Source organism: Homo sapiens, chromosome 15, assembly GCF_000001405.40.
Source record: "Homo sapiens chromosome 15, GRCh38.p14 Primary Assembly".
Classification (NCBI taxonomy): domain Eukaryota; kingdom Metazoa; phylum Chordata; class Mammalia; order Primates; family Hominidae; genus Homo; species Homo sapiens.
Genome location: NC_000015.10, coordinates 74,595,611 through 74,619,859, shown reverse-complemented (window position 1 = coordinate 74,619,859; position 24,249 = coordinate 74,595,611). Strand labels below are relative to the sequence as shown.

The 24,249-nt window shown below is 57.5% G+C and overlaps 3 protein-coding genes across 19 annotated transcripts in view, besides 7 other annotated features; 1 reads left to right on the top strand and 2 right to left on the bottom strand.

The window, feature by feature from the left end:
- CLK3 (CDC like kinase 3) overlaps positions 1 to 11,488 on the bottom strand; it is a 21,830-nt gene extending 10,342 nt beyond the window's left edge. The window contains exons 1-2 of one of the 2 annotated variants that reach the window (NM_003992.5): positions 11,434 to 11,488; positions 512 to 663 (exon numbers count right to left, since the gene is read on the bottom strand). In NM_003992.5, coding sequence (NP_003983.2) covers positions 512 to 663 — 152 coding nt within the window. In that variant the 5' untranslated portion in view covers positions 11,434 to 11,488. Of the gene's footprint in view, positions 1 to 511; positions 664 to 3,961; positions 4,025 to 11,433 lie in introns of those variants that run through there. The other variant, NM_001130028.2, reaches the window with a different exon arrangement.
- Positions 2,659 to 3,269: an enhancer, noted in NCBI's record as "NANOG-H3K27ac-H3K4me1 hESC enhancer chr15:74908932-74909542 (GRCh37/hg19 assembly coordinates)". NCBI's record gives its function as "activates a minimal SCP1, AML or CMV promoter by ChIP-STARR-seq in primed H9 embryonic stem cells {active_cell/tissue: H9 hESC(primed)}" and the evidence as "EXISTENCE:reporter gene assay evidence [ECO:0000049][PMID:30033119]".
- Positions 3,270 to 3,881: an enhancer, noted in NCBI's record as "NANOG-H3K27ac-H3K4me1 hESC enhancer chr15:74908320-74908931 (GRCh37/hg19 assembly coordinates)". NCBI's record gives its function as "activates a minimal SCP1, AML or CMV promoter by ChIP-STARR-seq in primed H9 embryonic stem cells {active_cell/tissue: H9 hESC(primed)}" and the evidence as "EXISTENCE:reporter gene assay evidence [ECO:0000049][PMID:30033119]".
- Positions 3,970 to 4,509: a silencer, noted in NCBI's record as "silent region_6654". NCBI's record gives its function as "represses an Ori minimal core promoter by ATAC-STARR-seq in GM12878 lymphoblastoid cells {active_cell/tissue: GM12878}" and the evidence as "EXISTENCE:reporter gene assay evidence [ECO:0000049][PMID:35858748]".
- On the top strand, positions 4,068 to 20,941 carry CLK3-AS1 (CLK3 antisense RNA 1). Of its 13 annotated transcripts, XR_007064714.1 has the most exons (12): positions 4,068 to 4,869; positions 6,349 to 6,443; positions 8,063 to 8,180; positions 8,266 to 8,449; positions 9,454 to 9,557; positions 9,629 to 10,258; positions 10,731 to 11,646; positions 11,845 to 11,961; positions 14,646 to 15,575; positions 16,106 to 16,173; positions 17,079 to 17,497; positions 17,892 to 20,941. XR_007064714.1 is itself a non-coding variant. In XM_017022794.3 (9 exons), the coding sequence occupies exons 2-8, from the start codon at positions 10,184 to 10,186 to the stop codon at positions 17,145 to 17,147; spliced, it is 699 nt and encodes a 232-aa protein (XP_016878283.1). In that variant the 5' UTR covers positions 9,431 to 9,557; positions 9,629 to 10,183; the 3' UTR covers positions 17,148 to 17,198; positions 17,892 to 20,941. The 13 variants fall into 13 exon arrangements, 7 of the variants coding, with proteins under 7 accessions (XP_016878283.1, XP_016878282.1, XP_016878284.1 ...); XR_007064715.1 differs by having other exon boundaries at positions 4,068 to 8,449; positions 9,457 to 9,557; XR_007064716.1 differs by lacking the exons at positions 4,068 to 4,869; positions 6,349 to 6,443; positions 8,063 to 8,180; positions 8,266 to 8,449 and having other exon boundaries at positions 9,431 to 9,557; positions 10,731 to 11,116; positions 11,457 to 11,646.
- Positions 4,930 to 5,249: a silencer, noted in NCBI's record as "silent region_6653". NCBI's record gives its function as "represses an Ori minimal core promoter by ATAC-STARR-seq in GM12878 lymphoblastoid cells {active_cell/tissue: GM12878}" and the evidence as "EXISTENCE:reporter gene assay evidence [ECO:0000049][PMID:35858748]".
- Positions 20,847 to 21,735: an enhancer, noted in NCBI's record as "H3K4me1 hESC enhancer chr15:74890466-74891354 (GRCh37/hg19 assembly coordinates)". NCBI's record gives its function as "activates a minimal SCP1, AML or CMV promoter by ChIP-STARR-seq in primed H9 embryonic stem cells {active_cell/tissue: H9 hESC(primed)}" and the evidence as "EXISTENCE:reporter gene assay evidence [ECO:0000049][PMID:30033119]".
- Positions 21,278 to 21,572: an enhancer, noted in NCBI's record as "tiled region #315; HepG2 Activating DNase unmatched - State 1:Tss, and K562 Activating DNase unmatched - State 1:Tss". NCBI's record gives its function as "activates a minimal TATA promoter and a strong SV40 promoter by Sharpr-MPRA in HepG2 and K562 cells {active_cell/tissue: HepG2 | K562}" and the evidence as "EXISTENCE:reporter gene assay evidence [ECO:0000049][PMID:27701403]".
- The window catches only part of ARID3B (AT-rich interaction domain 3B), a 56,912-nt gene continuing 54,391 nt past the window's right edge, over positions 21,729 to 24,249 (bottom strand). For 2 of the 4 annotated variants that reach the window (XR_007064418.1, XR_007064419.1), the window contains exons 8-9: positions 22,942 to 24,249; positions 21,729 to 22,079 (exon numbers count right to left, since the gene is read on the bottom strand). Coding sequence is in view for 2 of the 4 variants with exons in the window: in NM_001307939.2 (NP_001294868.1) it covers positions 24,086 to 24,249 (164 nt within the window). In the remaining 2 variants the exon portion in view is untranslated. The other 2 variants (NM_001307939.2, NM_006465.4) reach the window with 1 other exon arrangement.
- Positions 22,351 to 22,851: an enhancer, noted in NCBI's record as "H3K4me1 hESC enhancer chr15:74889350-74889850 (GRCh37/hg19 assembly coordinates)". NCBI's record gives its function as "activates a minimal SCP1, AML or CMV promoter by ChIP-STARR-seq in naive and primed H9 embryonic stem cells {active_cell/tissue: H9 hESC(naive and primed)}" and the evidence as "EXISTENCE:reporter gene assay evidence [ECO:0000049][PMID:30033119]".

The following is a 24,249-nucleotide window of genomic DNA, read 5'->3' as shown; positions in this document are numbered from 1 at the left end:
TGCAAAGGTACTAAGCCCGCCCTCCAGAGCCCTGTCCAACGACAGCATCCTCCAGCTGTAGGAGGAGGGGTACAGGGGAAGGGGAGTATGGTAGAGTGCCTCCAAGGGTTCTATACCCTTCCAGAGTTCCCTGTGGCCTGCTGCAACTCTAAGTTTGACCTGGGAGCTAAGATAGGCCCAGGGAGCAAACTTTCCAGGGGTGAGGTTATGTTCCTAATCCTCACCAAGGAAGGCTTAGGAGGTTAAGCGGAAAGATGCTGGCCTAGAAAATGGGGGAATGTGTGGGGAGAAGAAAAGGCACTCCAAGACAGAGAAAGAGTGGGCGGCAAGGATGGTAGCTACTGCTGAGGCCAAGGCATGCAGGTGAGGTTAGTGGAGGAGCCCAAAGAGGACAGGGCAGGGATCCAGGGACAGCTGGGCAGGGATGGAGTCATCTCAAGGAGTCTGGAGCTGCCACAGCTGAGCCCAGCTGACAGAAGGAGTCTTTCCCTCCTATCTAGTTCCCTCTCACCTTCTGGACCGAGATCTTCGTGGGGGAGGCTCCCTTCGGGACGGGTATCGCAGTCTCCCTTCATGTTCCCGACTGTAGGACCTCCTCCTCTTCCATCGGTAGCTCAGGTACGGGTCTGGTTCAGGGGAGCGGTATCGCTTACAGTGATGCATCTAGGCCACGAGGAACAGAGAGCCCTGCTAAACACACAGCCAGCCACCTCCAGCCATGGGGCTGCTGGGGCTTCCCGGTTGCTCCTGAAGAGGCCCATTGTTCTGTTTGAAGGCGGCCCCTCCCAGAGGTTTATGAAGTGAAGAAGAACTCTGAGGTCACACTGGTCAAACAGCAGACAATAGGAAACAACTTTCTCTGCCAGTGAACAAACAAACAGCTCCCAGCAGAGCATCACTAGCCTGGTGGCCTGGGTGCTCAGGGAACTGGGTGAGCCAGGGCCAGGGGCTGAGGCAGTAACCCTGGGTGGGGACGGTGAACACTACCACAGGGAGATCAAAGGCAGGAGAAAGGGGAGCCTCCTGCACTCTATTCCCTCCCGCCCGGGGGGGCGGTCCCGTGAAGTGAATGCTCTGTAAAGCCAAAGGCCAGGCAAAGGGCTGTACACAGGAGGCGAGGGCTCAAAGCCCTCAAGTTTGAGAAGCTGAACGCTGTCTGGCTAGGGCCCTGAACTGGACCCCACTCAAGGGAGTAAGGACCACAAGTGAGCATGAGGAGCCACAAGAGACTAGAAGAGCAGCCCTTGGAGAAAGAGGCACACAGGCCTCACAAACATTCCATAGCCCTCCTGAGGGTCAACCCAAGGGGACGTGGACCCAGCGCATCTAACTTTCTTTCCAGAGGCCCATTTAGCACCCTTTTAGACCCCCACAGTGCCCTGCCAGGTGCCTTGCCTTTATCCAACAGTACCGTTACTGTCCCTTCTTCTAGCTCTCTGGCTCTAGTATCCTACCCTCCGCCTATCCCAGGATAGCCAGAGGGTTAGCCATCTGGCAGGTAAAAGAGCCCCACCTCACTATCCCTGTTCAGTGAGGACTTATATCCACCAAATGAAATTGCCAGGCTGGATCTGCCACCAGCGGAGAAAGCTGGCCATGTGAGGCCAGCAACCTGCTCCACCCATACGTCAATCCCTGACTGCCTCCATGGAGCCAGCCTTCTTCCCAACACTCACACTTGGCCACAGCCAACCTCCAGTCATGGTCAGTCCTGAGCTTGCCTGGCCAAGCACATTTTGTACAAACCCACTGAGGCTGCCCCATCTCACCAGCAGGGTCTGTCAGGAGAAAAGCAGCATAGAACAGCTCCCCATGCTTGAGCAGGACAGTGAGGCCTATGTGACCAAACCCCTGGGAGCCTCTCCGTGTCCCTAAGAAAGCCCTCCATCTCCCCACTAACTTGTCTTCCCCCGTGTACCTGGGAAGTCTTTGGAGATAAATATTTTGTGAAATCACCTCCCCAAAAGCTTAGATTTGTTGTTTTGGTAATCAGCTGACTAATATTTCACTGTTTTCCTGCAATTACTCTGGGTCAGGTGCCCAAGCTATGGAATGAAAGCAGGAACTCACACCCCACTAATTGACCCAGAAGATGCTCTATTGGCCAGGGCACATGTCGTGCCACAAGGCAAGTATGGTCCTGCCCATCCTCACTGGGCAGACAAACACCAGAGCTGGAGGACACAGTCACAGTCACACCACGCCAAAGACTACCTCCTGGGACCTAGAAGATTCTTATGTCCATACATATTCACATCAATGGAAAACAAAATTTCAGAGTCATATAGATGTCAATCTGAATCATGGCTTGCCACTTCTAGCTGTGTGCCTTTGAACAAATTATTACACTACTCTGACCGTCAGCTTCATCTTGCAACAAGGGAATAGTAATCTCTTACAAGGTTCTGTGAGGATTAAATATCTCTCTCCTATAAGTGAAATGCCTAGCACAGCTTTGTGCCCACAGAGGTACTAGTGGCAGCTTTTCATGAACATCTGAAAGTTCCAGGTAACACTTCAGGGCTGTGTTAAATGCCTTACAGACATTTTATAAGTCCCTTCCAAGGAAACTGGGAGGCAAGAGCTCTGGCAGAAAACTAAACTAAATCCTAGTGCTGTCACATACCAGCCTCATGACCTTAGACAAGTCACTCTAGGCCTTGGTTAGCATGCCTGGAAAATGGAGATAACATCTCTCAGCCTGGCAAAAGAGATGACAAGCATGAGAGTTATAAGGTACCACACACAAAGCAATAACAGAGAAGAGTATCCTTCCTTTAACACATTCTAGGCAAGTAAAATATTGGAAATAGCAGATATCATCCTCCCAGCCAGGGCTCTAGGGCCCATTTCTCAATTATCTCTGATTCTCGAAAACCTCAGCAAACAGCTTGTTTAAAAAGCAGCTAAAGGCCACAATTATGCTTTGGGAAGCTCTGCTCTGCACAATGAGGAAAAAGGTGATATGAAGAAAACCAAGCCAAGGATGTCAACTTTGAGCACAGGCCTTGTCGGCTTCTCATTTGCTGTTCCTGGCCAGAGAACTGGGCTGACTAGAAGTGCAGCCAGCCAGGTCAGCGGCTGCCCTCCCGGATTCCAGCCACCCCAGCACCCATGGTTATTTTTGGCTGGACTGCCCTACCACTGCAACCTCAAACCTGCCACCTCGCAAGCCTCCACCACCAACGGTGAAACGCTCCTCCTTTTCAAGGGCATCAAGAAGGGAAGCTGGAAGGCCGCCAACTCCGCCTCTGATGGGGGCCTGGTTCAGGCAATTTCCACCCCAGCTCCACATCAGGGCACCCACACCCGGAACTAAAGCTAGAGACTCCCGGGCGGGACGGAGGAGCAGCCAGGGGATTTGAACTGTCAGCTTGGCCTAGCCCATCCTCCGGGCTGGAGTGGCTCTACCACCACAACAAAACACACAGGGGAGCCTGCGCCCTCGTTCGCGTCCCTTCCTGCCGCCCCAGGTCCCAGGGGGTCTCAGAGTCCCATCCCCTGTAACCGCCACCAGTGGCGCCGAGGGGAGACCCGGGGACAGAGGGAAAGCCGGACTGGGCCAGAATCAAACTCCAGGCCGCCAAGGGAGGAGTCATCTGCGGACTAAGCCTGAAGCCAGGGGTAGGGGAGGGGTCTGAAGGGCTTCTCTGGCTCTTCTACGTCGGACCCCGACCCCATTCCGCGGGCAGGCACAGAGCCCAAACTGGACCCTTGAGCGGCCCCAGAGGCCGTTCAGGCTCCGCCTTCAACACCGTGGGGTCGAGGTCAGGGTCTGCAGTGACCGCCCTCCGGGGCAGAAGCAGCGGGTCAGGGGTGAGAGGTCGCGGCCCGATATGGGCCGAAGAGGAGAAAGAAAGGGAGTAGGCCGAGACCGAATGGCACCAGCGCGCCTGCCCCGCCGACTCACCCCCGGCCGCCGCCGCCGCTGTCGCCGCCGCGGACCCCAGCCCACACTTACCGTCTCCCAGGCTCCGGCTGCAGCTAGGCCCCACTCCCCGCTCCGAGCGCCTCTTCCGCTTCCGGCTGCGACCTCCGCCCGTGGCAGCCCCGCCCCCTCGCGTGACGCAGCCGTCGCCAGCCTCGGCTCGACCCGGCTCGGAGGCCTGGCCGCTCTAGCCCCCGACTCGAAGGCTCCGGGGCACCAGCCCTCTCCGCTCCGGCGGGCGCCGCGGCCTAGGAGACTAGTTCCGGGAGGGCCGAGGGGACGAGCCTGGCCCGGCCCGCCTCCCGCCGTGTCGCGGCGCACGTAGGTCCCCCGACCTGACAGGTGCGCGGCCCGGGCCGGCTGGGCTCTCAGAGCCGAGAGGTGGGGCCCCGACCTGGCCGTGGGGCTGGGCCCGCTCCGTCGCCCCGACCCCGCGTGGTCCGCCAACTCCCTCCTGCGCGCGGAGAGGACGGGCATTGTTCTCGGGGCCCCGGAGAGCGCGAGAGCGGCCTGAGGTCTGTGTGCCGGAGCTCGGGAAGGCGGACGCGACTCCGCTTGCGCGAAACGAGCGAACGACACATTATTATCTTGGTGTGTGCGGGTTTTTTGAAAGCCGTGGTGGCGCTCCCAGCTCGCCAGTGCGTGCGGGGCAGTTTCTGGGAAGATACCCTAGAGCTACTCTGGCGGGGCCGGAGTCTGGAGGGAGGAGATCCCCTCTCCTTGAGCCCCCTCCTGTGGAGCGGCTTCCTGCCGGCCTGCGTGGCCTCTCAGTTAAGACTCCCCCGCTAGACAAAAGCCCCGCCGGCTGCGTCTCTGGGCCACTGGACAGCCCCCTTTTGCAGAGGCCTCGAGCGTGGGGTCACCAAAATCCCTGACACCTACTGTCCCGCGCCGGGTCGGACAGGATTACGAGGCCCCACTTTCCAGATGAGAAAACTGAGGTGGGGATCTTTTGAGACCTCACTGTGAGCGTGCGCGTCCCGCCCGGTCTGGGAGTGGCGTCCCCGGCCTCGCGAGCGTCGCGCAGTGAAGCGACAGGGCGTGGCGCCTAATTGTCCCCACGCCACGCGAGGGCTAGAAACCCGCAGTCGGGGCGGACCATCCCTCCAGGCACCGCCCCCTCCTTGGGACCGCTCCGCGGGGGCGCCAAGGGTTTCCCCAGCACCGCCCCGGCGGCCGCCAGCCAGCCGCGGCCCCGCCCATGCCCCTCCCCGCGGGTCTGGGCCCGCCCCTGAAGCGGGGAGGTGTCGCAGGGGAGCCCCCCGCTTCCGAGCTGCGGCTGCGCATCAAGTCCTTCGCCAGCGGCTCTCCCTGAAACGGGGGGTTTCAAGGCGTGATTTGTAGGGGTGTTTAGTATCCCCTAAATCTCTGCCAGCTCCACCATGGCTATCCGAAGTAAACAACAGAAGCTAATTCAAAACTGGGTCCCCTTCCAAAAAATTACAAAAATTAGCCGGACTGGGTGGCGCATGCCTGTAGTTCCAGCTCCTTGCAGGGGACTGAGGCAGGAGGATCGCTTGATCCCAGGAGGTTGAGATTGCAGTGAGCTATGATCACACCACTGCACTCCAGCCTGGTCGACAGAAGGAGACCCTGTCTCAAAAAATAAACAAAAAATCGGCCAAGCGCGGTGGTTCACCCCTCTAATCCCAGTACTTTGGGAGGCTGAGGTGGATGATCACCTGAGGTCAGGAATTCGAGACCAGTCTGGCCAACATGGCGAAACCCCGTCTCTACTAAAAATACAAAAATTAGCTAGACGTGGTGGCACGCGCCTGTAGTCCCAGATGCTCGGGAGGCTGAGGTGGGAGAATCACTTAAACCCGGGAGGCAGAGATTGCAGTGAGCCGAGATCGCGCCACTTCACTGCAGCCTGCGCAAGAGAGCAAAACTCCGTCTCAAAAAAGAAAGTTAGGAGCCGCTTCAGTGTACAGTGGGTGACCCAGATTGGCTGCTGAGGTCCTGCCCCCTAAGGTCCTATCTCAAAAGCTGAAGATTTTGAAAAATCCCAGGCCATCTGAGATGCCATTCCTGCCTGGTACCCATGGCCTCGACCACACTAGCCAGGTTCCATCTCGGGGTTTCATCAGCTCAGATGAGGTGGAGTAGGAGGCCTCTCTGGTGTCTCCTCCTCCCACCACTTAGTGTTGCCTGAGTTTCCATGGCTCCAGGATACTAGCCCTGAGGGATGGATGTTCTCAGAGAAGCTTCTGTCCCCGGGATGGATGTTCTCAGAGAAGCTTCTGTCCCCAGCCCTGCCCTGAGCTATAGGCTCTGATGGGGTAAGTTAGTCACCTTCCCACAAAACTGCCCACCACTGAGAATCCAGGAGTCCCTACCTCCCAGCCACGAAGCAACTCTCTTTTTCTGAGGTGGAACAGAAGCCATCTCCCAGCTGTCTCCCTCTCCACACTTTGCAGCCTGGAGGCCATCCTGCCTGAGATTCTACCCTTAGAGCTTCATTCTTTTGTGACTTTCACACCTTTCAGAAACTTGGAGAAAGATCTGCCCCCAGGTGAGGTTTGGGTAACTCCTCCACTCCCATCCCCACCTCAGAGGAGGCTTGCTCCACCTCCACTGCCCCTCAGGCCCAAGCTCCTGTCTGGGTCCTCAGCCTCTGTGGAGTTGAGGTCTGTAGCATATCTCAAGGGCACTGGGGAGGTGCCGCTGCCCTGCATCCTCCCAAACCCCACAGCTCCTCTCACCCCTTTTGGTCTCCCTTTTGCCCCCCACCTCCACTTCCACCAAGCTTAGGGCTCAGTTCACTGCCCGCCAGGCCCAGCTGCTCTGATGCCCTCCTTGTTCTATTGTCCTTACTGTCTCCTCTGTCTGCCTCATCTGACTTTGCCTTCTCTGGAGGCAGTTAATTCACCTCTGAGCCTTGGCCCCAGGGTCACCTCCCTGGAAAGCCTTCCTGGGGCTGCCCTGGCCTGCCCCCCTGCTCAGGACAATCTGGCCTGCATGTGCACTCCATTCTGTGGACCATGAGCCCCTCCCGGACCAAGCTGGGCACAGCTCAGCTTCTCACTAAGGGCAGGGGGCTGCCATGGAAAGCCTGTCACTTCTAACTGGCAAGACAGAGCACCCAGGTAGAGTGGCATTGTGGGAGCTGTACCCAGTATGGGAGGTGGGGGCAGCGGCCAGTCCTCATGGTCTGTCTTAGAGAAGCCTTGTGTGGCAGTGACATTTTGGAGGGGAGACAATTTTGGAGGGGGCTGCAGGAGCCTGGGCCTGGAGTAAGGGGAGAGGAGAGTCAAGCTGTCCAGTGGGGAGAAGGCCTGGTGGGCGATGGTGCCATCCTGAGTGGAGAAGGCCTGGGAATGTGAGGAGTGGGGAGGTCAGGGTGGGGGTGGTAGAGGTGCTAGGTGTAACCACTGCTTAGGTGAAGACAACTCCTGTGCCCTTTCAGAGCCAGGGCAGGGTGCCTCGTGCCCAGGGTTGGGAGTTGGGAGGCAGTGGACTTGGGCCCAGACCCTAGAGGTGAGGAGGGTGATGGTGAGGGGTGTAGGGATGGCAACACTGGCAGAATAGCCCCTGTCTACCCTCTGACCTTCCTCACCAAGCTGGTGGGTGAGAGGTCCGTCAGGGCCTCCATATTACAGCTGAAGCTATGGAAGCCAGAGAGGTACCTGAGCAGTGACTTGACTTAAGGGCTCTGACCCCCACATCATAGCTAAACTGTGGTGGCCCCCAAATGCTCCCCTGCCATTTCCAGACTTCCACACTGGAAGGGGGAACGTGGCTCTGGTGCAGACAGTGTTGGGTGGGGATTGCAGCTCCTCACGGGACTCCCTGCCGGACTTGGGCACCAATTTCCCCTCAGGAGTGCCTGCTGCGCCTCCCCAGACCAGCTGCTGTGAGGATAATGGGGTTTGTGTTCAGCAAGTGGCCACCCCTGGCAGCACCCACAGCTCATGGAAACCACTGGGAACTGAGAACTGTTTAGTGGAGTTGAGGCTGGTGTTTAGTGAAGTTCCAATCACCAGGAGACTTTCGGGCCAGAGGATCAGGGTTGAAGGGTTTTAGTGCGTGCTCAGCCAAAGGGCCTCAATTCTGAGTCTGAGAAGAGGCCTCAGAGCCTGGTGCTTTGGGAAGCCAAGACTACCCCAGCTCCAGGATCTGTCCTGTTCTCAGGTCCCACTGAGGCAGAGCCCATGGACTTGATGCCCAGCCCTGCCCGCTGTCTCTGGAACTCCTATTTCCTCGGGGCATTGGACCGTGTCTGCCCACCAAGCCCCACTGAAGGGTGCAGGTGAGCATAGGAAAGTTGGGCATGGCAGCCCCCTGGGGCCTGGGCTGAAGTCTGGCTCCTCTTTCCCTGGCATGTGCTCCAACAGGGCCCCCGAGCGGGACTGGAGGCGGGCAGAGAAGGACCTGTGGGAGCAGCTGGCAGAAAGCAGGCAGCAGAGGGCCGAGCTGGCAAGCCGTCTTCGGGCAGTGCCGGAGGCCCTGTCGGAGCAAGCCCTGGTGCTGCAGAGGCGGGAGCACAAGCTGGGACTTGGCTGGTCCCTAAAGCAGAAAGTGAGGCCCTGTCCTCCCCCATTCCTTCTTCCTGGGCTTTCTGTAGCTGAAAGGAGGTCCCCTGAGCTAGCAAGATCCCCTTAGCAGGCTGAAGCTCCAGAATGCCCAGAGCTGGTGTCCACATCTGGTGCCATATTCTCAGGGAGGCTTTCCGGGGTCTGGGGCACCCAGAGGAGAAAGGGAAATGGAGTCCCCAGCAAGGCTGCGGTGTTGAACAGAGATGTCTCTGAATGGTGCCCCTGGAAGGGTGCAGGGTGTTGCCTGAGAGGCATATGCTGGGGGTGGCTAGGGACACTGCTGGAGGTGAAGGAAGGGCCAGGGTCCCTGTGGCCCCCCAGGGAGAATCTGAGGGAGGGAGGGGCTGGTTTTAGCTCCATAGACTGAAGAGCTTCCTTAGAAGCCCAATCTCCCCGAGTGAAACAGGCGAGCCCCAGAGAGGGGGAGATGGCTGTGCAAGCTGAGGGTTCTTGGGAAGGTTACCAGGATCTCTGCCTCATGTGAGGGTAGGAAAGGGACACCGTGTGATGGCCCAGTTACGCAAGCCTTCAGTGACTCTGTGTCTTAGCTCACAGCTGGCCCACCTGGAGCCACTGCTCCCTACCAGGCCTGGGGGACCCTTGGGACCCAGTTGACAACCTCATGTCTGCCTGCCCTTTAGCATGCCACAGCAGTCCTGCTGGCCTCCACCCTGAAGCTGTCAGCAGCTGGAGAGCAGCTGGAGAGGCGGTGTATCTCGGGCCCAGCTGGAGGTAGAGATGCACAGCTGGAGCCTGTCGTGATAGATAACAGCCAAAAGCAGCCCCTCAGGGCCCCAGGGCACAGTCCCTTGTATATAAGCCAGGGCATGGGTCCATGTTGGGCTGTCAGCTGGGCTGCTGGCTGCCAGTCCGCCTGCGTTATCAAAGGCTGCAGACACTGCCCTGCCTGGTGGGAGGCAGGGAAGCTAGCCCTACCTATCTGAGGCTCTGTGCTGCCTTCAGCCCTCCCACTCAGCCTCCTCCTAGCAGGTGGAGTGCTCCCTGGCCTGCCTGGAGCAGGAGAGGCACCAGATGCAGGGATCCCAGGGACAGGCTGAGTGGAGGAGGCCAGACCAGAACATAGAAGACAAGTGAGTGGGGCTGGGCTGTGGGGGAGGGGTGGGGTGGCAGGGAACAGGCAGACCATCCCTTCTACCCACAGGATCCTGCTGCTGCAGACAGAAGTGGAAAAGGCCTAGCGGCATTTGGACCAAATGACCCAACAGCCTGTTGGCCCAGAGCCCAGCCTGGGGATCCCCCAAGTGGGTGCATGGCAGGCCCTGCGCACTGGCCCTGCTGTACCTTTGACTCTGCCCCACACTTTATTCTCTGGTCCTCATTATTGAAGCATTATCTAGAGAAGGAAGGCAGCGCAGGGGCTTAGTCCAGCCAAGAGAGGGATCCTCTTCCAACATTTGGGAATACCCTGGGATCATTCAGTGACTTCCCTCCTGGTTCAGATGGGAAAACTGAGACCAGAGAGCAGAGGAGAGCTTGTTCAGAGTCATAACTTGAGTTGGGGCCAGGACCCTGCCACAACATGCCCTGAGGCATCAACGGTCTGCCAAGACCACCCCAGTGTGGTCTGGAAGCTGGAAGGAGACCCCAGGATTCTGGACCAAGTGTATCTACAGGAGATGCTGGTGCCAGGCCTGCAGATCCAAGAGCAGAGCTGGGATGGAGGCAGGGCCCAGGAGCTTCGGGACCCAGAGTCTCCATGCCAGCAGCTGAGACCCCTGCCCAGGCTCAGGACACAGTCCGTCTGCAGGAGCAGTTGCTGATACTCACTGAGGTTGGTCAAGACAGCTGGCAGGGGCAGCCCCACAGGAAAGGGAATCTGGGCATTAGCTGATCCAGGCCATGCCCATCTGTACCAGGGGGCAGAGGCAAGGGAGCCTGGGCCCCATTCCTGGGGGATTCCAATGTAGGGCAAGGGGCTCTAGGGGCACAGAGGAAAGGAGAATGACCAGGAGAGAGAGATTCTAGCAGGGCGTCCACACAGTGACACTCCAGAGAGCACCATCCTCATCTTCACATAACTGGCCCCCCTGCTAGTGTGCAGCCAGGCACTGGTCCAGAGTCGTAGCCTGGAGTGTAGAGAAGCCTCTGCGGGCTGGGGTGGTCAGAGAGGCCTCCTGGAAGGGCTGAGACCCAGAGGAAGTGGAGTTCGGGGCCTCTGAGGAGGGGCTGCATGGGTAAAGGCTGGAGCTCCACAACCCTGGTGGAGGCTGAGCCACAACTCGGTGGGGTGGGGATCTCCCCAGGTGAACAAGAGACTCAGAAGAGCTGGGCCAGAGCCACCAGCAACTAGGGGCCTGCTTGGAGCAGCTGCAGCATCTGCAGGGAGAGCAGATGGTGTTGGGGGGCCATTGCAGGCCCTGGAGGCAGAGCACACCTGGCTACTTCAGGAGAAGGTGGGGCTGCTAGCAGCACTGGGTGTGGCCCCGGGCCAAGAGTCCTGGTAGGTGGCTGCTTGGGCCCATCCTCAGAGTGTCCAAGCCAGGCTGGGGTGGGGGCTCTGTTCTCACTGTAGGTGAGATGGCCCTCTCAGCAGGCGGTGGGCCAGTCTCTGTCACCAGCTGGCTGAGGGGGAATGGCCCAGAGCCCTAAACCCGGAATCACACGACCAGAGCCAGTCTCCCTTCCCCAGGTATCAGCGCTCCTGGTTGTCACATTCTGGCTCTTTTATGGGGTGGGAAATCTTTCAGCTTCAAGAAGTCCTGTCTCGCCTACATATGGCCAAGCCCCTCCTGCTGGCCCAGGGGCAGGTGGGAGGTGGGGGTGAGATGACCTTAGCTGCTGGGTGCAAGTCAGGGTCCTTGGGAGTAGAAGTGCCCAGTACAAAGGGGTTCTGTGTGTGCAGGGAGCCATGAAAGAGGCATCTCTGCCCCACTCCCCCTCCTAGTTCATAAGACAATAATCACTGAAAGGGAGTGGGGTGGGGGTGATCTGGGGTCCATGCTGTACCTGGACTGCACCATTTCTTCCAGTACACTCCAGGTCCTGGAGGTACCAGTGCCCCTCAGGAAAGAGCTAGAGGCACAAGAATCACATCCCAGGCTTCATGAGGAGATGGCTGAATATTGGAAGGCACGCTGGCACCGGCTGGCAGTTGCCCTGAAATTTAAAGAGGAGGAACTGCAGAGACTCCAGAGGCAGAGTGGGACCTGGCCTCCCCAGGTGGGCACTGTCTCCCACCTTCTTCTCCACCCCCTCAACCCCGTTCTCCCCATTGTCTTCCCCACTGCCCAGTCTTTCCCATACAAACCAATTAGTCTCTTACCCCTCCTTAGGATGCCCCCATCTTGATCCTATACTTCCTTCCCATTTTCTGCCTCTTCCTCATCATGCCCCATCATTCTCCATCCATGTTTTCAGCATGCATTTATTGAGCATCTGCTACATGCCTGGCCCTCTTCTGTGTGCAGAAGCAATGTCAAATCAGATCACTCCTTGTCCTCAACAGCTTATGGTTTGGGGGCACCCGGTAATTGAGTAAGCAATTATTTATTTATTATTGATTGATTTATAATCGATTGATTGATTGCATCAGGGTCTCTGTCACCCAGACTGAGGTGCAGTGGTGCAATCATAACTCACTGCAGCTTCAAACTCCTGGACTCAAGCGATCCTCCTGCCTCAGGTAGCTGGGACTGCAGGCACGCATCACCATGCCTGGCTAAGTTTTTTTTTTTTTTTTTTTTTTTGTAGAGATGGGGGTCTCACTACATTGCCCAGGGTGGTCTTGAACTTCTGACCCTCAAGCAGTTCTCCCACCTTGGCCTCCCAAAGTTCTGAGACTACAGGCATGAACCACTGTGCCTATTTTGCAAGTAATAATTTAATGTGCCAGATGAGGGAAGAGGCACAGTGGGAGCTGGTTAAGGGGTGGCAGATAGGAGAGTCCCTCCCAGAGAAGGGGTTTCTGAGCCTCTGAACCCTCACACAAGGATAGACAGGCATTTTCCAGGAGGAGAGAGGAAATGAAGGGCATTTCAGCAAGAGGAAACTGCACATACATATACCCAGAGAGACAGGGGAGGAGTGTTGTAAATAGCCCCTGATCCACTTGAGAAGGAGAGTGGGTGAGGGGGTTACTATGGACATGGGACAGGGGCCAGATCTAGGGTTTAGATGTCCCAGCTCCTGTCCACCTGACTTCACCTCCAGCTTGGTGGCTGCCTTCTCCTGGTCAGCATCCCTTAGTCTCCTGGGCAAGTGTATGTGTGCATGGACAGACAGACACACAGACATGCATGCACACACACACCCCCAGGATACACATCAGACATCTGCAGACACCCCCAGATATGCACACACACAGACACAGAGAGAGATACAGACACCAACGAGGTGCCTGGGAGCCATAGGGAAGTAGTATTCTAAGGACCCCATGTGGGATCCACGCTCTGCCACAAGGCACCTGACTGAAGCTGATCTGCTGATCTCGATGGAAGGAAAAGGAGAGAAAGCTTAGCTGGCTTTGGGCCTCATAAAGGTTGAGTTGGTCTAAATCAGTGTATCTCAAATGGGTACACAACTGTGCTCATAGGGGGCTGTTCCTTAAGTCTGCAGTGTAGTCTGCCACTATATATTTGTACAGAGGAAAATCTCAGTTTTTTGTTTTGTTGTTTTTTTTTTTTGTTTGTTTGTTTTTGTCTATTTCTCAAACCAGACCCTTGAGGGTCAGAAGATATATCCTCAGCGCCTGGATGGGCTATATTCTTTGGTCAAGTCTGAGGACTTGCAGTGGGCAATGTCAGTGAGAAGGTAGTGGAGTGACAGAGGGCTGGGCCCTCGGCAGATTTGTCTCCTAGCAGGAAGAGGTGCTAGGTGAGCCGGATGCACTTAACCTGCACGTGATGCATAAGCCAGTGCCACTTTGGGCCCCACATGCAGGGCCTTCCAGCCCCTCAGAGACTGTCCAGGCCATTTTTACTCCCTCCCTGGACCCCTAGAAGGCCAACCCAGGACTCACCTTCTACAGGCAGGTGGGGACCCTGGGCTCTGGGCCTATCCAGCAAGGATGGCCTAAAATGCAGACCCTGGGTCCTGGGCAGGGGTCCTGTGCAGAGTGGCTGATGAACCAGACTAGCAGTGCACTTCCAGCAGGGCGAGGCTCTTGGAGATGGGGCAGCAGCTGGATAGGGTCTGGACAAAGCCATATTGCATCAACGTCCGGCTGGCCAGGGGGTTCACGGGCTCAGCACCCAGCGCTCCCAGGGCCTCTGGCATGCTCCACCTCCAGTCCCATCCCCAGCCTCAAGCTCCTCCACCCAACCCTCTCTGGGTGTCTACCTCAGTCTGTCTTCCATCCAAGGATTCAGTAGTCTGCACTGTCCCCAGATTAGTGGCTAAGATTGTGGGTTTAAATCTTGGCTCCACAATATACTAGCTGTGTGACCTTGGGCAGTTCCTCTGCCTCTCTGGGCCTTATCTGTAAAAGTGAAAATAACAGTTATCCTCCCTGAATGAGTGCCTAAGAGGATGACATTTGACAAGCACGTGAAAACACATGGCATTCAGTCATGAAGCATTAGCCACTATGATTGCACAGTTCCTGCTGCTGCAGGTGTGGTCACTTTGAGGAGAAAGTTCTCCTCGAAGTCAGGGTCCTTTTGGGGCCAGAGAGCTGCCACATGGGGCTGGATCCCACTTACCCTCTGTGAGTTTGCTAGGGCTGTGATAACAAAGTGCTGAAGACGGTAGCTTCAATGGCAGGCATTCATTGTCTCTTGGTTCTGAAGGCTGAAGTTCAGGTCAGGGTGTCGGCAGGGTTGGTTCCTCCTGAGGCCTGTGAGGGAGGGTCTGTTCTAGGCCTTGTCCCCAGCTTCTGGTGCTTTGCCAGCAGGCTTTGACATTCCTCCAGGATGTCCGCGTGGTGTCTCCCTCTGTGTGTGCCCGTGTCCACATTTCCCCTTTGTATAGTCACCTTGGATGAAAGCCCAGCCTATTGACTTCATTTTAGTCTGATTACCTCTGTAATGATTCTGTCTCATTAGGAGGTACTGGGGATGTCAATATATCTTTTTGTTGTTGTTGCTGGGGATACAGTTCAACCCAGAACGCCTCCAATTTGCTTCCTGCTATCTTCCTGGCTGGGTGGTTTGGTTTGGGTGTGACTTGGGACTTCAGGGCCCCAGATGCTCCCTCTTGCTTTTCCCATCATGTAACCGCAGGACCCTTACACAGCTGCACAGGCCAGAGTGCACGCAGGAGGAGCTGCCGTGAGTCTGGGCGGGCACCATCCAGTGAGCCCCCAGGCCCCTAGTCCACATGCCAGCCAGGGAGGGCAGGCCAGGGCCCAGGAGGAGATCCGCTCCCCTCTGCAGGCTGGACCTGCCCAAACCCAAGAGCCAGGGTGAAGGTTTCTGCAGGCATGAGAGGATGGGGGAGCAGGGCCCCTAGATGGGGATGCAGCTGGCCCCTCCCCAGTCAGCCACAGGAGCAGGATGCAGGCTCTGGAGAGGGAGAATGACCAGATGGCTGCTGGGATCCAGAGGCAAAAGGTGGGCAGGAGCTGGGCTGCCTGGGGTGGTGTGAGGTGGCCCCACCTACAGTCAGGGCCCCCAAAGAACCCCTCCTAAGTACCCTAGAGCCCTCCCCAAGCCTGAAGTCAGGGGCCTTGTGCAATAAAGTGGAGGCCCGGGCTGTGCCACAGCCACAGCTCTTCTCATGGGGCCTCAGCTTCCTGATTGTTTAATGGGTCCCAAGCTCCCCACCCTGGCCCTGAGTACCGGGGAGCTCAGGCCCAGGGGTGTGGGGCCTCCAGGGCTACTATGGCCCATCTGTCCGTGAACAGAAAGGGCCTTGCCCTCCAGCTTGAGCTGGGTGCCTGTGGACAGAAGCAGGACTTTGGCCACCACTGGCACCAGAACCCTCAGCACCAGCTGCTAGGGGTGAGGGTCGGGTGCCCCCAGGTCAAGGTGGCCTGAGCCTGCCCACCCAAGGACAGGGACATAAGAATCTGGACAATCCTGCCAGCCTGAAGGGAGGGCAGCCACCCTGGAGCAGCCCAAGTGCTCCTGAGTCCTTGCCACCTCCCCTCTGCCCACAGGGCAGACCGCAGCAGAGACCCCAGGCCAGCCCCCGGAGTCTGCAAATGAAAGGTGGGTCCCACCTCACCCCTGCCCCACCCAGCCCACTGTGGCTTCTCCTGGGTACTACACAGGCATTTACCTGAGTGGGCACCAGCCAAGACCCACCCACACACCTCCAGCCCCACAGCCTGTGGGTGGGGCCGCTGGGAATCCTCACTGGCCAGTAAAGCGACGGGTTCCACAAACACTGATGGGACTGTGGCAGTCCCAGCTCTGCCACAAACTGGCCAGTGGCCTTGGCCAAGCCCCTCACTACTCTGGGGCTCAGGTTCCATCTGTACATTGGGTGTGGTGCTGGGGGGACTCTGGGGAGCTCTGACACTCAGTGATCCTATGACCCTGTTCAGTTTACTCACTGGGTCACTGTCCCTGCGTCGGTCTCCCCAGCTGTATAGAACTGGGCCTGTGCCACATTTGAGTTACCCAGTGGCCTTGGTGGAGCTAATGATGCACAGAACACAGAACGGGGTGGGGGCAAGGGGACAGGGTCCTGCTGTCCCTGCCACACCCCAGCAGCGTTTCTGCCTCCCATCCCCCAGGAGCTGTGGGAGCCCAGGTCTGCCAAGGAGCTGGAGTCTGCAGTGTGGACTCCACCAGAGGCCAATGGGTGAGCTCAAGGGCAGACTGGGGTGGAGCTGGGACAGCCCCATCCAGGGGTGAGAGCTGGTGTGGGGCAGCCCTGGTTGCCCTCCCTGAGATCAGGCTGGATGGAGGTGGGACCTCCCAGGCAGAGAACTTGGCTCTGGTCTCCCATTGCCATGTGGACTGGGCCCTCTGGGACCACACTGGGCCCTTGTTTCCAGGAGCTGGAGGAGCTGAGACAGGGACCATGTGAAGTGAAGGCAGGGCCTGGGCCGGGGGGCAGGGGTTGGAGTAGGAAGCCTGGCTTGTTGGAACCAATGAATTGGGATGGGGGTTCTCCATTGAGCACCAAGGACTCAGCCTAGACTCATCCCAGGCCCGTAACCCCGGCTGCCCTGTCCTCGTACAACCTCAGCGTGGCCCTGAGAGGGGACTAGGCCTCACTCCTTGGCAGGGTGGACTCACCAATTGAAGTGATGAAACAAGTGCGTTGGGGAGCGAGGCTTTGCGGGCCCAGCCCTGTGCAGGCAAACTGTGCAGGGACCCTGGAAAGGATGTGGAGATGGAGGGCGATGTGAGGCCTGCCCTCAGGGGCTCCTGGGCTAGGCAGTACTACCCGTATGGGGAGCGCTGCGGGACTCAGGGTAAAAGAGGGAGTGAAGGATCAGGGGTTCAGGGCAAGTGTTCTGGACTTCAGTCACCTGCACAGCTTGGAGGGGAAGGTGAGCCCTCTTGCCCCCTCCCCTGGTGCTGTTCCGTCAGCACTGCACCTGATGCCGCCATGGTGGCCTCTTTGGGGCGAAGAACAGTCCCTAGGAAGGCCCCTGTGAGGCTGGAGCTCTGAATCCAAGGGGGAGCGAAGTTCTTGGGGAGCCTGCAGATCAAGATACGCGCCAGCCCCACCCTCCTCCATCACAGACTTCTTTGCAGGAGGTGGGTTCAGAGCTGGCTGAGATGCAGACTGAGCTCGAGAAGGTCTGCAATGTGCTGGAAGCTTGAGACTCAGAGCTGAGAGCTGAGCAGTGGGCCCTGGAGGCTGCCCAGGACCAGGTGCTCAGCAGCTGCCCCCCTGCACTGTGCTTCCGACTGGCCTGCATGGCTCCCACAGGCTCCCCCATGCCCGATCCCTGCTGCCTGCCGCATGGTGCCCATGCAGGCCTTGACCTTTCCTTCCCCACACTCCGTCACTCAAGTTCCTCCCAAGCCCTTGCTGCCCACTGGGAGGGCTCAGCCTGGAACGTGTTCACTGCTTCCCCCCGCCCACCTCTAAGCTGGTGGAGAGCCTCCCTGAGAAACTGAGGCTGCAGCAGCAGCTGAAAAGGAGCTGGTAGAGAAGCAGTGACTGCGGGGTGAGGGGTGCCTGCATCTGAGGGGCTCTTTGGGGAGAAACCCCACCCTCCCTCCCAGAGATGCTCCTCAGCCCCCACAGCTCTTCCTCTTCTCTGAGAACCTGGGGCAGGGGGCAGGGGGGCAGGGGCATTTAGGGACACGTTGTGGAGGCTGCCCTCTCATCCCCTCAGGGGTTAGGATGGGTGGGGCTGAGCAGCGGCCTGAGGCCTGACCTATCTCCTGGTCTGCCTTCTTCTCTCTGAAGAGGGGAAGCCAGGGAAAGCAGCAGCAGGAGGGTGGGCTGTGGGGCACAGGGAATCAGACCATCTGGGCCCCTGGGCCTGGAGCAATGGATGGAAGGAGAATGGCAGTAGAACCGAGAAGTCTTACACTTCACTCTCCACCACTCCCCAGCTTGGCGAGCATGAGCAAGTCCTGCCTTCACTAAGCCTCACTATCCTCTGTAAAATGGAAACACGGACAGTACCTATGACACAGGATTGATGTGAGGATGACATGGGACACAGTGCACCGGGGACAGTGCTTATGTTCTCCGTCCTTCTCAGTTTCTCCTGTATCTGGGGTCCAGTTAGGCTGAGTCAGTACCAAAGTCATAAAACCACGTATATGTGCCCAGGGGCGGCTGCATACGGGCTTTAGTCCCAAAGCCTTTTTTTTTTTTTTTTTTGAGATGGAGTTTTGCTCTTGTTGCCCAGGCTGGAGTGCAATGGCGTGATCTCGGCTCACCACAACCTCTGCCTCCTGGGTTCAAGCGACTCTCCTGCCTCAGCCTCCCAAGTAGCTGGGATTACAGGCATGCGCCACCATACCTGGCTAATTTTGTATTTTTAATAGAGATGGGGTTTCTCCTTGTTGGCCAGGCTGGTCTTGAACTCCTGACCTCAGGTGGTCCACCCACCTGGGCCTCCCAAAGTGCTGGGATTACAGGCGTGAGCCACTGCGCCACACACAAGGCCTATTTTATGCAATGTTCAATCCATAAGGCTTTGTTTGCACTTCTTGTGATATTCAGGCAATAGTTTGATGTAATGCAATGCTGCCAGTGACAGACAATACAGCACATTCCCCAGGATGGCAACAGCTACTGGCTTGTGCTTAAATACCATTTCATTCTGACTGAGGTCATCATCTTTGAGCTCCTGCAATGAGGAGCTCAATAGGGTGGGGGATGCTGTCCTTTGCCTCAGGTGCTCTTTGGGTGCTTTCATAAAAGAGGGTCAGAGCCGCCGATGGGGTCTAGGAGACCCTAAGAGTTCTGATGGTCAGGCTGAGAATTGTGTCCTCAGGGAGTGGGAGCTGCTGCAGGTCTGAGCACCAAGGGCTCCAGCACCAGGACAGGAGCCTCCAGCCACCTCCACCTTGCAGCCCCTGAAGGTAGCATATGTGGACCCTCTAGATGGGGTGGGGAGTGACCTCTGCCCAGTTCCTTTCTGTCCCGTGGCCTTCCCATCTGCAGGTTGTAGAGGGGAAACAGAAGGCTAGAAAGGCCCTTCCAGCTCAGGCTTTTACTGGTTCTAAATGGATTCCTGAGCTGGCCTCCCCATCCCTGGACAGAGCGGAAGCTACCCCCTGCCCTGCCTCTCTGACCCCCATGGTATCAGCCTCTGTCTCATCTGCCCCCAGATCCCAGCCATGGCCCTGGAGCCCAAAGAAGGGCATCTGAGAAAAGTTGGAAGCCAGGGGCAGTGCCCAGGCAGTGTAGAGACTGTGCCCAGAGCCAGCAGGAGGCAGATTCACAGCCTCACTCTGCAGCACAAGAGATTGAGGTCAGGCCCTGCACCCCCGCCCAGTGAGCTGAAGGGTCCTGGCATAGAAAAGCTGAATTGAGAGGCCTCAGTGAGTTGGGCATGGTGGCTCACACCTGCAATCCCAGCACTTTAGGAGGCTGAGGCAGGTGGATCACTTGAGGCCAGGAGTTCAAGAACAGCCTGGTTAACATGGGGAAACTCTGTTTCCACTAAAAAATTCAAAATTAGCTGGGCGTGGTGGCACATGCCTGTAATCCCAACTACTCAGGAGGCTGAGGCAGGAGAATCGCTTGAACCCAGGAGGTGGAGGTTGCAGTGAGTCGAGATCGCACCACTGCACTTCAGCCTGGGTGAGAGTGAGACTCTGTCTCAAAAAAAAAAAAAAAAAAAAAAAAAAGGCCTTAGGCAACCGCGGCTGGGCAAGGACTTGGGAAGAGGGGAGGCCCGTTTGGCTGGCCTTCAGCCCCCAAGGCCAGGGTTTCTATGAGGCCTGAAGCCTGGAGCCTGTCATAGGCAACTGCAGTCTGAGGCCTCCCTGGCAGAAACCACTCCTTGTCCCCTCCCTGACACAGGCCTGAAATGCCCATGTTGGCACAATGTTGCCAATATGGCTCTTGGTGGATGAGACCACCTGGCACTTTCCCAGGGGACCCTGTGGCTAAGAGTAGAGCTAGGCAGGCACTGCCCAACACCATAGGGGGTGCTGCGGGCCTGTAGGCTTGGTTGGCCCAATTACTGCCCTAATGCCATCGGACAGTGCCCACCAGGGACTCTCTGTCTTGCCAAGGAAGGCCTTAGGCACTGGGCTTTAGACATTTCAAAGTGAGTTCTCATTCACTTGTGTCTCCGATCACACTAGAGTCCCCATTTCACAGACAAACTGCCCAGAGTTTGTCATAGGTCACACAGCAAACCAGCAACTAAGCCCCCTGGTCCCCTAATCTGCCCCAGAAAGGTAGTTTCTCAGCTGTTCTGAGCTTGACAGCATGAACATCCTCAGGAGCCACAGGCAAAGTGGGCTGAGGCTTGGCATTCCCCTCGAGGTCATCTGGCCATTCTGAACGCCCCTCCTCAGCCTGCTTCCTCCGGCTGAGCCATGTGCCCCCGGAACCCCTCTGAACTCTGTTGCCGATCCCTCCCTCCATCTGCGCCTTCAGTGAAGCAGTTTCTTAAAGGAGGGGTCCTTGGTACCGTGGAGGGACAGGACATCTCTGGGAATTCGTACCCAGCTGCGTTCGTGCTGAGTTCTTCATGACCCACTCCTTCCAGCGTCAGCTGGTGGATCCAGGGCTGGGTACTGAGCCGTACTGGACCAGTGGGCCCCCTCCCGGGATCGCTGGACTTGGAGCAGAAGAGTCCCTCCAGGGCTGAAGATTGGACACAGAAAACTTGGGAACTGTCAACTGCCCTGTTATTCACCTCGTGAAAAAAGCTGGATTTCTAATGAGAGCGAATGGAGGTGACAATTCCCAGAAACTGGAATTGGGATGGTGAGATTTTAGTTCAGCCGCCGGCGGTCTCATGCGTGGAGGTGATAAAGTTGAGCTTTGAGGTGGTCTTCAGAGGGAGAGGAATACCCTCTGCGGGCAGAGCTTCCTGGGTTCCGGGCCCTTCCGGACGTCAACACAGGTCCAAATGCCCTTGGGCTCCTCCGCACACCCTGGGTGCAAGAATAAATCCTTCTCTCTGCCGCCATTAGCCTGACTGGCTTCGGTTACTTCGCACAAAAAGCCCTTGCCGAGCAAACGTCCCCGGTGCTGCTCCAAAGGAGACCCCTGCCCTCCTGGAAGCTCCTCCCTGAGGCCGGGTATCCACTCGCCGCTCGCAGCCCTCGCTCTAGCTCCAGCTCCTGTTCCTTTTCCTGCCCACCCCGCCCAGTGAGGAGATCAGCACCCCTTGTCTGTCTCTGTGTCTGTCGGGGTTCGTGCCTCACTGTGTCCAAGCCCGGCTTCTATCCCTAGTCCCTTCCTGTTCGCGCCACTCCTGCTTGCTTTCTTCTCCCCTTCCCTCCAGCGGTGGTTCCAAACCTTCTCTTCCATAAGACCCTCCATTCCGTTTCCCAGAGACCCAGGGGTGCCCCTCGCAGGGGCAGAGGCGCAGCCTGTAGTGGATCTCCCTCCGCGCAGGGCGGGCAGTCTAAGGTCATTCCCGGTCACCCTGCCCCCTCGCTCCCATTGGCTCTGGGGAGGGCACGTGACTCAATCCTGGCCAATGGCGTGGCGGGGCCTGTGGCTTGCTGCCGGGCAGGCTTTTCTAGGAGCTTCTGGGGTAACGCCAGAGAAACCTGCTAACACACAAGGTTAGCTGAGAGTGAGCTCAGTGAGCTTTCCCTTTGAAGAAGGCGTGGGTGAAGGGGAGAAGGTTCAGGAGAAATCAAGGGGTCAGGAGTAGTTCACTCAGTCCCCTTTCACTCTGAAGGAGCTCACCTCTCCCCAGTACTGTCCAGTGGAAAGGCCACTCAAAGCAACTGAGAGAGACCTGCTTGTGTGAAGAGGTAGAGGTTTATTGAAATATAAACATTCGAGAACATGTAAGATAGAAAATAACCACAACATATAGACACTTGCTGCAGGAGGACATCTGAGGTATTTACTCACTGCCTAGGCTACCCATGTGCTATCACATTTTTCCTGGTTAGAATACATATAAGATGGAGAGCAGGAGGGGACAGAGCTGCCCTGGCTGATGGCACCTTCAGGGGAAGCTCTGCTTGGGCCAAGGCCCCACTCGTGGGGGCACCTGCTGGCACCCCTCATCGGGCTCTGGGTGACACCCTGCTGTTGTCCTTGAGGGCAGTGAGGGTTCACTCCAACGGTGTGGCCAGGCGAGCTGCCTGGGGAAAGGGAGAGGATCCAATGACCGGAAAGACACAGTGTGCTTTCCCTGCATCCTCTGGGTGGGAAGAGTCCATCCTTTGTGACCAAACCCCTGAGAAAGACATACTGGCCAAATGTCTGAGACACCTTCAAATGGGCCCAGTGCCAGCCAACTGGGCTCCTCACTGGCACCACGTCCCAGATGCCCTTCTCTGCCCACACCCTGCAGGCTGAGGCCAGAGGAGGTCAGCCCTCGGGAGATGGGGTATGTGTGTGTGTGTGTGTATGTGTGTGGGAGTGGGGGTGAGTGTGTGTGGAGGGCTGAGAGAAGACGCAGTTGAGCAGAGCTGCAGCTTACCGGGCTGAGGTATCTGTTTGTGCTCAAGCTTTTGATTCCCTTTCCTCTCCTACACAGGACTGAATGCGAGCCACGCTGCCACACACACCCACGCCACGCGCGGTGTCTCCCACTGCCACAGCCCCATGTCACAGTGGTGGTGTTCTGCTGAACATTCCAGGGCTTCCTCGACTGAGGTGAGCCGCAAGCGAATCAATTTTCTTTACAGCACAGGAGCTGCCTGCTCCCGCGCAGGGTCCAGGAGGAGCTGTGGAGTTATTCATCTCCTCATACCCTGGGGCGGCTCAACCTCTGGCAAGGCCAGCGAGGACCCCAGCCTGCCTGTGCCCTGAGCTGGGAATGCTGAGTGATGGGGAGGTGTCCTCTGCCTCCCTGGTCAGCTGGGGGTGGGGGTGTGGCAGAAAACGGTCTTCAGAACTGGTACAGTTTCAGGGCCCGACCCGGTGTGAGAGCGGGCCTCTCCACTCCACCTCCCCGCCCCCGCGATCCCTGAGTCGTCTCCCCTGCATGCCTCCACCCACCTCCTCACTGGGCTTGAGGGAAGGGCCAGAGGGGCCGGGTTACCCAATCACTTGCTTGGCTTTGGGGGTGATCTGTTTTCATTTCTTTGGTGCTACGATAAAAATTTTAAAATAAAAAAAAAACAAAAGTCAGCAAAACACATATAAAAAAGATTTCAGAGATGCAAATACTTCCTGAAGACTCAAACATCAACAATTACAAATCTGAGGTATTTCAATGAACCTGACATCGGCACGTGTGGGGATGGTGAGGCCAAGATGGCCCCATAAGAAATAGAAGAGGGCTGAGCTGAAGAAGGCTGAAGAAGGCTGGGGAGGACTGGGGAGGGCTGAAGAGGGCTGGGGAAAGGATGAGTGGGCTGTTTTTGGGAAAGCAGGCCAATAAGGGCAAGTGGGGAGCATGAGGTTTGGCGGGGGCGGTCAGAGAATGGTCCGTGTGAAGCAGGTGCCAGGGCTGGGCAGCCCCGAGGCTCTGCCTTCCCATCAGCAGATGCCCTGTGGGCCCTGGCCCTGAACTGCCCTCACAGCCTCTTCCTTCAGACTATTAGAAGGGGGATCTGGGGCCCTGAGGACTGATTCAAGACTTGTGTTTGAGGGACCCGTACCCCAGGAACCTAACAGTAGGCAAAGTGGGCTGGAAGGGCCCCATCCCATGCTCTGCAGAGAAGGGCATGAAGGCATGCTCTTGGCTCCTGGCAGCCCCACATGGGACTTAAAAACAGGGGAAGAGACTAGTGGCCCTGGGGTCATGGCAGAAGGCAGGGTCAGGGAAATAAATTAAAAGGGGAGGGAAATGGAGGGCCTCCAGCCCTGCGTCGGCTGACAGATTGTCGATACACTGTGCCCTGAGCTGGGAGGTGGCTGGGGAACCCTGGAGGAAGCTGGACACCCACAGACCCCCACCCAGTTCTCCAGGACAATCCCTGATTGGACAACGCTGTCTGTCCTGCCCCTCTAGCCTCTCCCTGCCCCCAGAGTACAGCAGGACCTGAATGGAGCCTGGACAGACGGACACGTCCAAACTCTCAATGTCTGGCCAAATGGTGCTCGTCGACGTGGGCTCTGTGAGATGAGGTAAATTCTGTGCATCAACTTCCTTCACTCTCGACAGGAGAGTGGCAAGTGGGAAGCTGGGTCCTGCCCATCAGAGGGACCAGCTGGTGGAGGGCTCTGCGCTGGGGGTGCCCCGGGATGAGGTAGGACTTGGTGAACAGTGAGAGCTGCTGCTGCTGCTGGCGCTGCTGCCGAGGCTCTGGGGAGCAGACCCCGTGATGAGGTGGACCACAGGCTTCTGGGCAAACAGCACAC

Excerpts from the sequence above, each read along its gene's own strand:
- CLK3-AS1 (XM_017022791.3), top strand. The coding sequence starts at position 10,184 with ATGCCAGCAGCTGAGACCCCTGCCCAGGCTCAGGACACAGTCCGTCTG. Across the intron at positions 10,259-10,730 it reads AGTTGCTGATACTCACTGAG|GTGAACAAGAGACTCAGAAG; the intron begins GTTGGTCAAGAC and ends GGATCTCCCCAG. Across the intron at positions 15,576-16,105 it reads CCGGAGTCTGCAAATGAAAG|GAGCTGTGGGAGCCCAGGTC; the intron begins GTGGGTCCCACC and ends CCCATCCCCCAG.